The 13,286-nt window shown below is 38.8% G+C and overlaps 1 protein-coding gene across 8 annotated transcripts in view, besides 2 other annotated features; it reads left to right on the top strand.

Moving 5' to 3' along the window:
* Positions 1–13,286, top strand: part of PPP2R3A (protein phosphatase 2 regulatory subunit B''alpha) — a 182,167-nt gene that overhangs the window by 15,634 nt on the left and 153,247 nt on the right. The window lies entirely within an intron of this gene.
* Positions 3,550–4,187: an enhancer, noted in NCBI's record as "H3K27ac-H3K4me1 hESC enhancer chr3:135703753-135704390 (GRCh37/hg19 assembly coordinates)". NCBI's record gives its function as "activates a minimal SCP1, AML or CMV promoter by ChIP-STARR-seq in primed H9 embryonic stem cells {active_cell/tissue: H9 hESC(primed)}" and the evidence as "EXISTENCE:reporter gene assay evidence [ECO:0000049][PMID:30033119]".
* Positions 4,188–4,823: an enhancer, noted in NCBI's record as "H3K27ac-H3K4me1 hESC enhancer chr3:135704391-135705026 (GRCh37/hg19 assembly coordinates)". NCBI's record gives its function as "activates a minimal SCP1, AML or CMV promoter by ChIP-STARR-seq in naive and primed H9 embryonic stem cells {active_cell/tissue: H9 hESC(naive and primed)}" and the evidence as "EXISTENCE:reporter gene assay evidence [ECO:0000049][PMID:30033119]".

The following is a 13,286-nucleotide window of genomic DNA, read 5'->3' on the forward strand; positions in this document are numbered from 1 at the left end:
AATGCTATATTTTTTCATCAGTTAAAATGCCAAATGAAGCTGAACAACTCTCAGAAATGGTCAGTAAGGCCACTTTATCCTAGATGGAGCCAGTTAGCCCTTCCTTAAAACTGATTACAAAAAGTGACCTTTTTTTCTAGTCCAGGTCTTGGCCAAGGAAACAGAAGTGGTGGTATATTAGCAATTTGCCTTCCTCCTTTCTTCCTTCTCTTCCTTCATTGAGTACTTATATATACTAGGCACTGTTTTAGTGTTAGGATGCAGTGGTGACCACAGCAAACAAAATCCTTGCCTTTGGAGTGTACATTCTATTGCAGGGATAAAGACAGTAAACGTGTAAACAGTAAATAAAGCCAAGAACTCATAAGTTTTATGAAGACATTAAACTACATAATAGGGCAGAGAGTAATGAGAAGGGGCCAGGGTCGAGGGAGAGGAAGAGGCCATTTGAAGAAAGGAAGGCCAAGGGAGAATAGTACAAGATGAGGTCAGGGAGGTGGTTAGCAGACTGAGCTATTAAAGGCCATGGGAGAGGAGTTTAGACTTTGTTCAAAATGCATTTAAACAGGAAAGCAATTCACTCTGATTTGTATTACTCTGGTAGTGCTGCTTGCAGAATGACTGGAGTTTGGAGAGGCAAGAGTGGAAGCAGGGAGACCAGTTAGAAGTCCATGACAGTACTTCAGGTGAGAGAAGATGATGGTTAGGATCGTGATTCTAACAGTGGAAATTAAAAGTGGTCAAAATTAAGAGATATTTTTGAGATAGGGTTGACAGGTCTTACTGAATGAGTTTATATCCTGGGTCTGGGCTGCACATGTGGCAGTTGGCCATTCCACTTTTATGAACTTGCAAACAAGTTCATAGCAAGACATCTGTAAAAAGTTCTGTTTCACAATAATGTACTCCAGTTGTGCATCTACTGGGTCATCGGGTTCTTTGTCTATATAATGGGTAATTAATAACAAACTCTTGTTGGGCCTCATCTGCAAAATACAGGGATTCCTGCAGTCCCACATGTAGGATGTCCGCTGAATGAAGAACTTTGGAAGTGTCTCAGGTTCTCATTATACCCTTCAGGGCACTTGAGGCTGAATGGCGGTCAAAGGTTGGTGAAGCAGGGTGGGTTGCTGTCCTGACCCTAGAGTTGGACCTGTCAGCTCAGCCTCACATACCACATATATGACCAGGAAATAAAAAACAAATAATGAACAACCTTGCTGGCTCTCTTACAGCAGATGAGTCTATTTATTCTCAACCCTCCCACTCTCAAATTCCTGACTCTGTGGTCAACCTCTGTACCCCTTCTGGTCTTTTGGTTTGGACTCCCCTTTGGATTCTTGAAGTTGAACCTTGCTCTCAGTTCTGCTTTCCCATCTGATCTCAGTATCATCTTCCCCAACTCCAGCCACCCCTGCAACACATGCATACACACACACCTTTCATAATATTGAATGAAAAATTTCCTGCCGAAATTATGGCCACAGAACCCCACTAGAGGTGGTAATTCAGGCTTGTGTCCTATGGGTGATTTTGCTTAGTTAGGTGGTACTATTGAGCCCACAGGATCATAACTTTTTACCTGCATTTGTCTTACAGACAGATGAGTACTTCATGCACTCTTCCAATTGGCAAGCTTAGTGCAAAAATGAACTAATAACGTTAGATGTGATAAGTTTATAGTCTTGCTTGGTTAAATAGAGGGCATCAGTGGGGTCAAGAAATAGGATTCCAAAGCCATATCCAGGGCAGGAGCTAAGCAATGGGTTCTGTCAAGGGACACGTGAGGACTGTGAAGGATCAGCTCAAAGTAATCTGCATTTTCTTCTTACAGATATTTCCACTGGGCTTTTGCCCCATTTCTCTACCCAAGTTTAGTTTTGGGGTGTGCTTCACAGAATCTGACCGTTTATCCATTAAGAAAATATTATTGAATTTATATTTTATGCTGTGCACTGGCTATGTGGTGGGGATATGAGGATGAGTAAATTGTGATGGCTTTCTGACTCATCTGCGTCTGCTTCCCTGATTCATCACACTGCCACCTGAATCCCATCATCCCCCTTCCTGAAAAACTATAACAGTGTTATAAATGCTTAATACTAAAAAGACAAGACTTTGCAAATAAGTGGAAATTACTTCAAAATGTTTCTTCTTTTCAGTGCATTTTTGCTTTTCTATTTATATGTTTCCTCTAAATCAAATCCTACGTTTTACTCTTCTGTTAAGTTTCTTTAAATTGCTTTGTCTTGCCCTGATATTTGTGTTCTTCCACATTTAGAGCCTTCTGCATCTTCTATTTGCCTCTTGTTGATTTAATCTCACAGGTCATTTTTTAAGTCAGGCTTTATGCTTAGCCTTATGGCATGTTTTGTATGTAATTCTATTTCTGGATATGATGCCATTTGTGAACATGCTTTTAATTATGTCCTAGTCAGTTACATTATTGAACAAGCTCATTGTTTTAAGTATACTTACAAAGTTTGACAACAAACTTATAGCCTGAAGTTCAGAGAGAGGTAGCACTTAACATTATTCATTGGTTTTTAAGAGTCACCTGTAAATTTTACTCCATTAACTTTATCTGTTATGACTTTTTTTATAGCTATTTTATGTGTCACAGTTTATTAGTTTTCAAACTTTTTGAAAAACAAAATTGGAGTTTAACAGAAATCCACCTTTTTGTTCATCCTATCCAGGTTACTATAACAACTTCAGTGTTGTATAGATTTTCCCTCCCTCCTTCCCCTTCTAACTACCCTTCCTTTCCCTTCCTTCTCTTTCCTTCTTTTATTTCCTAATTTGAGAGTTCCTTCCCTAGAAGTTGAGAAATCTGGAATTGTAGCAGGGATTTAGGAACTGACTACCCCAGCTCCTTTAGCCTTAATATAGACATAGTATATGACAAAAGAGCTTTGATCTTACAGAAACCTGGACTCAAATCACAGTTCTACTTTCTGAGTATGTAACATGCGTAAATTTTTTTCTTCTGTAAGCCTCAGTTTCCTCATCTGTGAAATAGAGATAACACTTCAATGTTGACATAAGAATTAAATTAGATGATGCATTTAAATACTCAGCACAATCCTAGTAATATGGTTTGGCTTTGTGTCCCAACCAAATCTCACTTCGAATTGTAATCCCCAAGTGTTGAGGGAGGGACCTGCTGGGAGGTAATTGGATCATGGGGGCAGTTTCCCCCATGCCGTTCTCGCGATAGTATGTCCTCACAAGATCTGATGGTTTTATAAGGGGCTCTTCCTGCTTTGCTTCCTCTGTTTCCTGCTGCCATGTAAGATGTGCCTGTTTCCCCTTCCACCATGATTGTAAGTGTCCTGAGGCTTTCTCAACCATGCAGAACTGTGAGTCAGTTAAACCTCTGTGTTAGTCCATTTTCACGCTGCTGATAAAAACATATCCAAGACGGGGCAATTTACAAAAGAAAGAGGTTTTATTGGACTTACAGTCCACATGGCTGGGGAGGCCTCACAATCATGGCAGAAGGCAAGGAGGAGCAAGTCACATCTTTCGTGGATGGTGCCAGGCACCACCACGAGAGTTTGTGCAGAGAAACTCCCATTTTTAAAACCATCAGATCTCATGAGACCCATTCACTGTCACGAGAACAGGACAGGAAAGACCTGCCCCCATGATTCAATCATCTTCCACCATCTCCCTCCCGCAACATGTGGGAATTATGGGAGCTACAATATGAGATTTGGGTGGGGACACAAGGCCAAACCATATCAACCTCTTTCCTTTATAAATTACCCAGTCTCAGGTATTTCTTTATAGCAGTGTGAAAATGGACTAATACACCTAGCATGTATAAGTACTTTAAAATGATGATGTAATAATATTAATCTTCTCTTTGAAAGCCCAGTACAAGAAGGGTCAGCATAGCAGCACACCTCCGTCTCTAACCCAGTCCTGCTCACTTTGTCTCTCTCTCTCTCCCCCTTTCCCTTTCTCTCTCTCTCTCTCTCTCCCCGCCCTCTTTCCCTCTCTCCCTTCCTCTCTCCCTCTCTCCCTCTCTCCCTCTCTCTCTCGCTCTCTCTGTCTCTCTCTCTCCCTCTCTCTCACACACACATACTCTTCCCTACCTAAGGAATACAAGCCCAAGATTAGAGGATGCATGCCAAGTTCCCTCCTCCTTGCTGTTTATCTGTTGATGAAGGTAGCATGAATTTCTGCAGAGAGTAGTCTTACACCTAATGTATAACCGTTCCTTTGACCCTGCCAGTGGAGGCATACAGACGGATTGTCTTACTTGGAACTCACCAGTAAACTTTTTGGCAAATGATGCATCTCCAGATGTATGGTTATTAAGATGTACTCTTAGATGTTCTAAAGGCTTAGGATGTGACCATGGGATAAAGTGACTGAGACAGGGTAGAGAACAAGATCAGCATGATTAATGTTGTGGGAAAAAAAGATCAAGAAACTAAGGACAGAATATCAGATGAATTATTTGTTTGGATGCTAAAATCAGTAAGACTTATGACAGAAATAGTGTTGGAGTGACAGCCAGGAACTAAAATCAAGGAATGAAAGGGAATGACTTTGGGGAGCCATAAATGACTGCAATAAGGAACGATAGTAGGCAGTAGAGTCTGATGGTATGTAACTCAGAGCAGAGGATTTTTGGAGAGCACACAGGGAGAATGATCTGGAAGCAGCGGTGAGGAACAAGAAAGGCAGTTACCAGGACTCATATTTTGAGGAGTATGGAAGAGAAAAAGAGTCATCATCTAAAAGGGATACAGGGAAAGCAGCGTTCTCAGGGGAGAGTTCAGTTTCCATTTAAATATGAAGGTAAAGGAAGTTGAAGAAAGCTGTAGAGGTCAAGAATATGAGGATTTTGCTGATAACTGCTCATGAGTCCCACAGGGCTCAGCGGAAGGGTTAAGTTTTCAGGAGGTAGAAGGGGTAGAGGCTTAGATTTCATCATCAGTCACCATCATCTCTCCCTTGCATACATCCTCAATTCCTCTGACCCTCTTTCACTTCAGCAACCTTGCCTGGCTAACCCACAGAGCCAGTTAAATCCAGTTCTTTGCCTATTCTATGCCTGTAAAACCATGCTGCTGAACTTGACATATTAATTATCATATCCTCAAGTGGACCCTTAATGTTACCTGGCTATTATACTAGATTTCTCCAGCCATTTTCTGTCAGTTTCATCTCCTATTTGATGACTATTTCTTCAGTCTCCTTCATGTTGGATACCTCCTCCCCACTCTTCGCTCTCAACTGATGGCTTGCTTCCTATTTCACCAAGAAACTGAGTCAGGAAGGAGCTTTATCACCACAGCTACCCACTACCCGCAGTAGTATCCATATACTCTGCTTTCTTTCCTGTTAGTGTGAAAGAACTACCCTAAGTGCTTTATAATTCTTTCTGTTGTGTCATCAGCTTTCCTTTCTTCTGAACCATTCTCTTGTGCATGAACATATGCTTTTATTTCTTCCATGTTAAAAACAATCCTTCTTGACTCCACTTTCCACTCTAACTTTTGCCTTATTTAATGTAAACATCGTAGTAAAACTTATTTAAAGAGTTATTTATGTTCTGTTGCTTATTTTTCACTTCCCATTCTTTTTTTAACTAAAGCCAGTCAGACTTCTTCCCCCATAATTCCAATAAAACTGCTCTTTTCGGTTATCAGTGATGTCCACATCTGTCATTTCTCAACACCTATCTGACTTAACATTCAGGAACAGAGTTGATCGTTCACTTTATCCTCCTTGAAACACCTTCACTGGGCTTCTGAGATACTTGTCAAGAACTCTGAAGGATCTAAGAGTTTACTGTATTTGTATACTAACAAGTTAGTATGCAACAGTTTGATGTATAATGGTAGAAGACACAAGACTTCTGGATCAGAGACAGAAGACAGTTTATTACTTATAGCAGTAACATAACCAGAGTATCAGTATTTTTGTGCTGGTTTCCTGATCCCAAGTTCTCCTAGGGCAATATGAAGAGGCCAGATGACACCTGCACACACAGTAAGGCTGTGTTATTGGAAAGGAAACTTGATCTTAGGTGGAACCCAAATCTTTTATAATGGGCCATAAGCATGCTTGCTCTTTGTTTCAGAGGGAAACATTATCTTTATTATGCTGGACAGTAACCCATTGCTCTGGAGGGAGACACTACCAAGTCTTCCAAGGCTATTCAGTATAAAAAACATCCTTGAAAAGATAGTCTAGAACTGTCATGTGTCACATCACCGACTATCAAGATAGTGCCTCACTTACAATATTTGCAGAAACATAAGAGACCTATGGAGAATTGACTCACAGTAATTCTTCCCTCTCTGGCCATTTTTTGTCAGTCTCCTTTGCTGGTTCTTCTTCAATTCGCCATACTCTAGATCTACACTGTCTAGTACTGTAGCCACTAGCTGCATGTAGTTATTTCAATTGGCTGTATTTCAAGTGCTCAATAGCCACATGTAGGAAGTGGCTGCTATTGCATGGTGCAGATATAAAAATATTTCATCATCACAGAAAGTTCCATTGGACAGTGCCACTCTGCATGTTTGAAGTGCCCCATGGCTCAGCCTTTGGATATCTCCTTTTTACTTCTGTATTCCATCCCTTGGTGATCTCATCTAGTTTCATGACTTTAAAAAAAGACTCCCAAATTTCTATCAACCCGGATCTGTCCCCTAAACTCCAGGCTCAGTTCTCTAGCAGCCCTCTGGACACATGTACCTGAATGTCTTAATAGGCATCTTAAAGTTAACATGTCCAAAACTGAACTACCTGAACTACCGATTCTCCTTGCAACCACTACTTCCTCTCCCACAAACAAATCTTTTCTTTCTGCAGTCTTTCCAGTCTCAATTAATGTGAGTTCTCATCTTCAGTTGTTCAAGGATTAAAAAAAAAAAAAAACAGTTTTTTTAAACTCTTAGATTTATTATTGACCTCTCTGTTTTCTATAAAACCCACTCATGTATCCCATTGGCTCTACTTTCAAAATATATCCAGAATCTGACCACTTTGCTCCTGCTACCACCTAGTCCAAGCCAGCATCATCTTTTGCCTGGATTATTCTAATAGCCCTCCTTCTGGTCTCTCTCTTCTACTCTTGTCCCCTGTAGTCTGTTCTCATCCTAACAGCCAGAATGATTTTGTGAAGAAGAACATCAGGTCATGTCATTTCTCTGCTTAAAACTCCTCAGTAGCTTTCCATCTCACTTAGGTAAGAGCAAAGTCTAGTCACACTGGCATTCTCACTCTTGCTAAAACATTCAAGCCATGCTCCCACCTCAGAACCTTTATATCTGGTGTTCCTTTTGCTTCCTTTTCCCCTAACCCACCCACTGAAGACACCAGTCCAGTTGTCTTATAGAATGATCCATACTATGAATTTCTCTGCTTCCTCATGGTATTAATTTATTTCTCTATAGCCTGTATTTTCTGGAATTGGACATTAGATCTAAAGGATTGATTAGATTAATTAAATATTTTTGGTGAGGAAATTCCATCAATGATGCTACAGTCTTGACATTGAATCATTTTGGGAGGCACCTATTGATTATCTCACCATTAGTGACGCCAAGTTTGTCTAACGTGTTGAGATGGGAATGTTCGTATCTCTCCATTATATATTTACATTTTTCCCTTCGTGGTTAACAAAAAAGCTGAAGGGTGAATGCTATTTTTTTTTAACGCTGTTATTTTAAGAACACTTTTTAGCTGTGGAAATGCTTTTTCAAATAAAACGTTTTTTGGAGATCCAGTATCTAAAACAGATAAAAGCAGAGCTGTTTTGTTGCAGTAGGAAATGCAGCTTCCAAGGGAACTTTGACAAGCACAGTTTTTAACCCACAAGGCCCACCCAAACACTTGAGAAGGTGGAGACCCAGAGGACACATGAAGTCTTAAAGCCACCTAGCATCTCGTGAGAAAGGCTCAGTACACCTTCTATTAGAGCATAGTTTGGGAGCTCTGCCACTTCCTTGGAAAGCTGTGGTTGTGAATGATCATTAGAATGAGACTTGGTTTTTCCCTGGCAGTCCACCCGCTGTTTTTAGTTGTCTCAGTGCTTTCTTGACATTCTATCTATCTGTTCTGCAGATGTGAAGATTTGAAATTACTTCATTTATAGTGTGTGTTGGGTTGCAGTCCTTTTTTTTTGCCTTTTGGAAATTCTTCATCCACAAAGAATTCCAGATTCAGACATTATTCATCTATGTCTGGAACACAAAAAAATCTCCTGAGCTTCCATATGTCTTACCTTCTTTCTGCCTTTAAAATAGTCAGAATGCTGCCACAGCTGAAGTCAGTTTTCTCATTTGCTTGTTGCTTGCTTCCTTTCTGTACCTTACTTACCATACAGCCTAACTTGCCTTACTAGAGAGTTAAATGAGTAAATTTACTGTGCTCATACAATATCTATAAGTTGTATACTATAGATTTTTATTTTCAGGGAAAGAAGTTTCTCTATATTAAGTGGAAAAAAACAGGCAATAAACTATAATCTTACTTTTGTTTAAAAAGTTATATGCACAAAAATCTCCATGACTGTTTATGTGTATATGTATATTTAAAGCCCAAAAGGATATTTACAAAAATGTTCACATTGATACTACCTCTAGCTGTGATCTTTGCTTTCCTCTTTGTAATTTCTCTGGTATCACTCTCACTTTTGTTTGTAGTGTGTCTTATTTCTACAGTCATTACTTTTATAAAGATTAAAACTATTGTTTAAAAAGACAAAACAGTAACTTTGGTTTGTCAAATCCAAACTGCCTTGAAGGCGGGTCCGGGCACCACCCCAGCTTACTGCCATCCGTACCATTCTTTGGGATTCTTATCTTATCCCAAATGAGCAGCTTTTCCCTGATCTCATGATTCCATTCTTTTACAATAGGTTCTTGGCCGTCCTCTAGAATCCACTAGGCGCTGAAGACCTTCTCTGCTCACTTGTATCAAAATGAACTTGTCAGGGAAGGGAAGGAGGATGTAAAAATGAAGTTCTAAAAGGAATTGTCACTAGAATGTGATCTCCATCAGGACCCAGGAGGAGCTCAATAAATACCTCTTAAATGAATTGGCCTATTATTTTTTGTCTCATTTATTTTATCTCACAAATTCCTACAAACAAGCCGTGTTTGTTTTCTGTAATGCCCTGAACATTTGGAGTACTTAATATAAATTAATGAATAAAGTCCTTTTAAAAATAAATCCGTACTTAATAAAAATAAATTTCAGATTTCTTGTTATCTTTAACCAGAATTTGTGCTTGTACAGGAATTTAGAAAGGGACAGGACTTAAAGATAAAAGTCTTACGTTAGATCCCGCTCACAGTTTTGTGATCATGATTAGTCAACTTAAGCCCCTGAGCTGCCTTCATTTATAGCCTCACGGATTCTCTTCTAGACTCTTCTGAGGCCTTCTACCTGGCCTACCTAGCTTCATCTTGTGTCCTCAAGTCTGCCCTCCACAATGCTACAAAGAGTAATATCCCACAATGCACATTTGATCTTGTCTCCTCTCGCAGCCACAATTTGTAACCTCTCGGGGGCTTTCTGATGCTGTGTTGCCTTTGCCCCACTCCTTCAGCTTTGGCTCCTGGAAGCCTGTCTTCAAACTTGAGACTCAAATAATACCAAGTTCCTGCTAGCTCCCACACATCCCATGCTGCTTTCTGCTTTGCTCCCTCTTACAGGACGTTTTCCCTTCAGCCAACTACACTACTCTATTCCAGGACTGGGTTTGGCAGATCCCCTCTCTGGTGTGTCGTCTTTTGCGTAAAGGTTATGTATCCACTGTCCTGCCCGCTCAGACTGTGAGCTGCTTGAGGCAAAACCATAGAGTTCATAGTTCTTTATGTTGAAGGGTACCTGGCCTGTAGTGGGACTCAAATGTTTATTAAACTGTGTTGTAAAATACATGTGTTCTTCTGAATTGTCTAAATGATTTTTACCCATAGAATGTTACCTGATTTTTATATGTTCTCCTCCAAAATAAAAAAATACTTAGAAAAGGAAATTGTGTGAATTAAAGTAACTTAAAATATAGCTAGACAGAGGCAAAAACTATTGGTGATATTTTGGAGTATATAATAAAGAATTTTTTAAAATTAGAAAATGGTAAAAGTTTAACCCCAAATATTCCTTTTGGAGATAGTTCTCAGAGAAAGCAGTAGCTTTGCAGATTACATGCATTAAATATTAATAGCCTATTCATCATACTTCCCATATCAAATAATACAAAATAGTTCTCTGGTAAAATGTAGCCCTTTCTTAATTCAAACCAAGAAAAAACAAATTTTGCTTTTCTCATGTTCCCTAGACCCCAGAGCCATTTTTCATCCTGTTTTTCCTGAAGAAAAGATAAAATCCCTGTGAGGGAAGTGACTTGACCAAGTTACCCAGCTAGTCAGTGCAGAAGCTGACTGCCCACCTGGTGCTTTTTCCCCTCAGCCACACATTTCCTGTTTCTCCACTGCGGTAAAAATAAAAGTTAGTTTTTAAGCGCTTCCTAATTCCCATGTGTTCAAATCAGGTCCACTGCTGAATGTTTTTATATTACCCTTAGCCTCATTCAGACATTAGCCCTAAACCTAAAGCATTAATTTTTCTGTCATACCCATGTATACACTTTCTTTGAGCATCAGAAAATCTTTTCTATAAGAGATGTTGTATTTTCTCAACTATATTAATTTTATTTATTTTATTTTTTAAATTTCTCAACTATTTTTGAAGTGGACATGACAAATAAAATATTCCAGGTCTCCTTTTTTATTCCACAAATAGGCCTTACTGTACACTTTTGGTATTCTTTTAAACTGTTCTGTTGGAAGCAGTTTCCACACTGAGTCATCCACCCAAGATTGCCTATGTTTTCCAGGCAAAGTAATAGTTTTATTATTTCTAAATGACTCATTACTTCTGAATCATTACACCTTGTGTTCTCTGTTAAATAAAAAGTTTTCAAGACAATTTTCTACAGTTTTTTTCTGCTCCTAGTCTTCAAGTGATCCACCTAAGTGGCATGGACATTCAATCAACTCTGTCTTTTCTTTATGATTGATGTTGATCATTTCTTCTTTAACCCTTTCATCAGCTGAGATAAGCAGTGGAATTTCTTTACCTCATACTCTGCTCCAGATGTTTCCTGAAGTGGAACAAATAAATAGCAACATAGTATGTGTAACACCGTTCTATAATTTCCATCATTACATTAATGTTTAAGATTATATTAACTTCCCAAATTTCTCCATGAAATTAGGGAGAGACACCCCAAAAAATGTAGCTCTAATATCTGCAGGGAGATGAATTCAGCTTCAGGCATGGATTTCAGTACACATTCAGGAGAAAATATTCCCCATGTAGTTAAATATACTTGGCAGTGAAGAGACCGGAGTTAAAGATAAATATTTGAGAGGAAGCGCCAGATAAAGATTTTAAGGCCACAAAAGTGGACAAGATTTGAGCATATATAAGATGAGAAACGGGGCAAAGCACAAAACTCTGAGGAAGACTGGCACATAGGGGACAAGAGGAGAGATGCAAGGAAGGAGACAGTGAATTTTCAAAGGGCAGGTGGAGAACCAGCCAAATATGTCCCAGGAGTCAAGTGAGGGAAGTGTTTCATTCTTTTCAACTATAAAGCCATTGAAAATCCATATGACCTTAGGATAGGCAAAGATCTTAAGGTAGTATATATAAATGTATTAACTATAAAAGAAAAAATGATTAATTGGATTGATGAAATTAACTTACAGAATTAAAACCTCCTACTCTTCAAAAGCCACTGCTAAGAAAATGGAAAGAGAAGCCACAGACTGGGAGATAATATCTGTATTTAAAATATATATGTAATGAACTCTTAGAATTCACTAATAAGAGATGACCCAAAAGATTCTGGATAGACACTTCACAAAAGAAGATATATATGAATTTTTAATAAGCATATGAAAAAATACTCAACATCATTAGTCAGCAGGGAAATGCAAATTAAAGCCACAGTGGGATACCACTTCACACTCACTAAGATGGCTAAAATTTACAAGTATCTGAAAGGATGTAGAGCTACTAGAGCTCTCAAGTGCTGCTAAGGGTATAAAATGGTAGAACCACTTTGGAAAACAGTTTTGCAGGTTCTTATAAAGTTAAATGTACATTTATCATGATGCAGTAATTCCATTGCTAATTACCCAAAAGAAATGAACACATATCCACAAAAAGACTTTTACTTGATTAGTCATAATAGCTTTAAATCATAATAGCACAAACTAGAAATAGCTCAAATGTCCATCAGCTGTATGAATATACCAGAATTTGTTTTATCTATTTGTTGAATAGCATCAGAACATTTGAATAGACAAAACAAATTCTGGTACATTCATACAGTGGAATACTACTCAGCAGTGTAAAGGAATGTACAATTGATAACATACAGTAAAATGGATAAATCTCGAAACTAAGTGCTAAATGAGAGAAGCCAGAGAGAAAAGTACATATGTAATTATGCTAATATGAAGATCTAGAACTGGCGAGACTTACCTACAGTAATAGAAATCAGATCAGTGGTTGTTGGATATTATGGGTAAGGGAAATTGAGAAAGGGCCTAGGGATAATTTTGCGGTGATAAAAATGTTCTGTCTTTTTTAAGGCAGTGGTTACATGGTTCTTGTCAAATCTCACTGGATTACAAACTTAATATGTTTTTTATTGTATGTAAATTATCAGTAAAGTTGATTTCAAAATAAAAGTGAAGCTCTAAAAAGCTGAAGGGAAGCTCTGTGTTTGTGGACAGCGTTTGTCAATTAGTGGGCTTCACTGTAAGATGATCATGTAGCTAGATGAGATTTCTATTTCTCTAGAAAAAGATTCTTTAATCCACAGTGGAGACTAGGAGCTGGAGTTAGTAAGCCTGGTTTTTGGTGACCTGGGCCTCCTTTATTTTCAATCCTTTACCACCGTCTTTGTCTGATGCCCCTGATGTTGGTGCTTTTCTGTTTCAGTTTTTTCCTCCCAGCACATCAACTTTCTATCTTCAGCAGGGTGAAAGAGGGATGATTTCTGAGCTTGTGGAGTGGGGGTATGGAGACCTAACTATTCTCTTACAGACTTTCAAACAGTCCCCCTATGTTTAATCCTCTACCCTACTCCATTTTCTGTGGTACCTGCTACCAACAAACCTTGGCTTTCTTTGGGTTGTGCAGGGTATGAACTGGTTTGCTTGTCATCAGTAAGCTGTCATTTACCATTCCTACTTCTCTTTTCTGTCTTCATCTGGAGTTACAGGTGTCTCCTA

The sequence above is a fragment of the Homo sapiens genome, chromosome 3 (assembly GCF_000001405.40).
Source record: "Homo sapiens chromosome 3, GRCh38.p14 Primary Assembly".
In the NCBI taxonomy this organism is placed as follows: domain Eukaryota; kingdom Metazoa; phylum Chordata; class Mammalia; order Primates; family Hominidae; genus Homo; species Homo sapiens.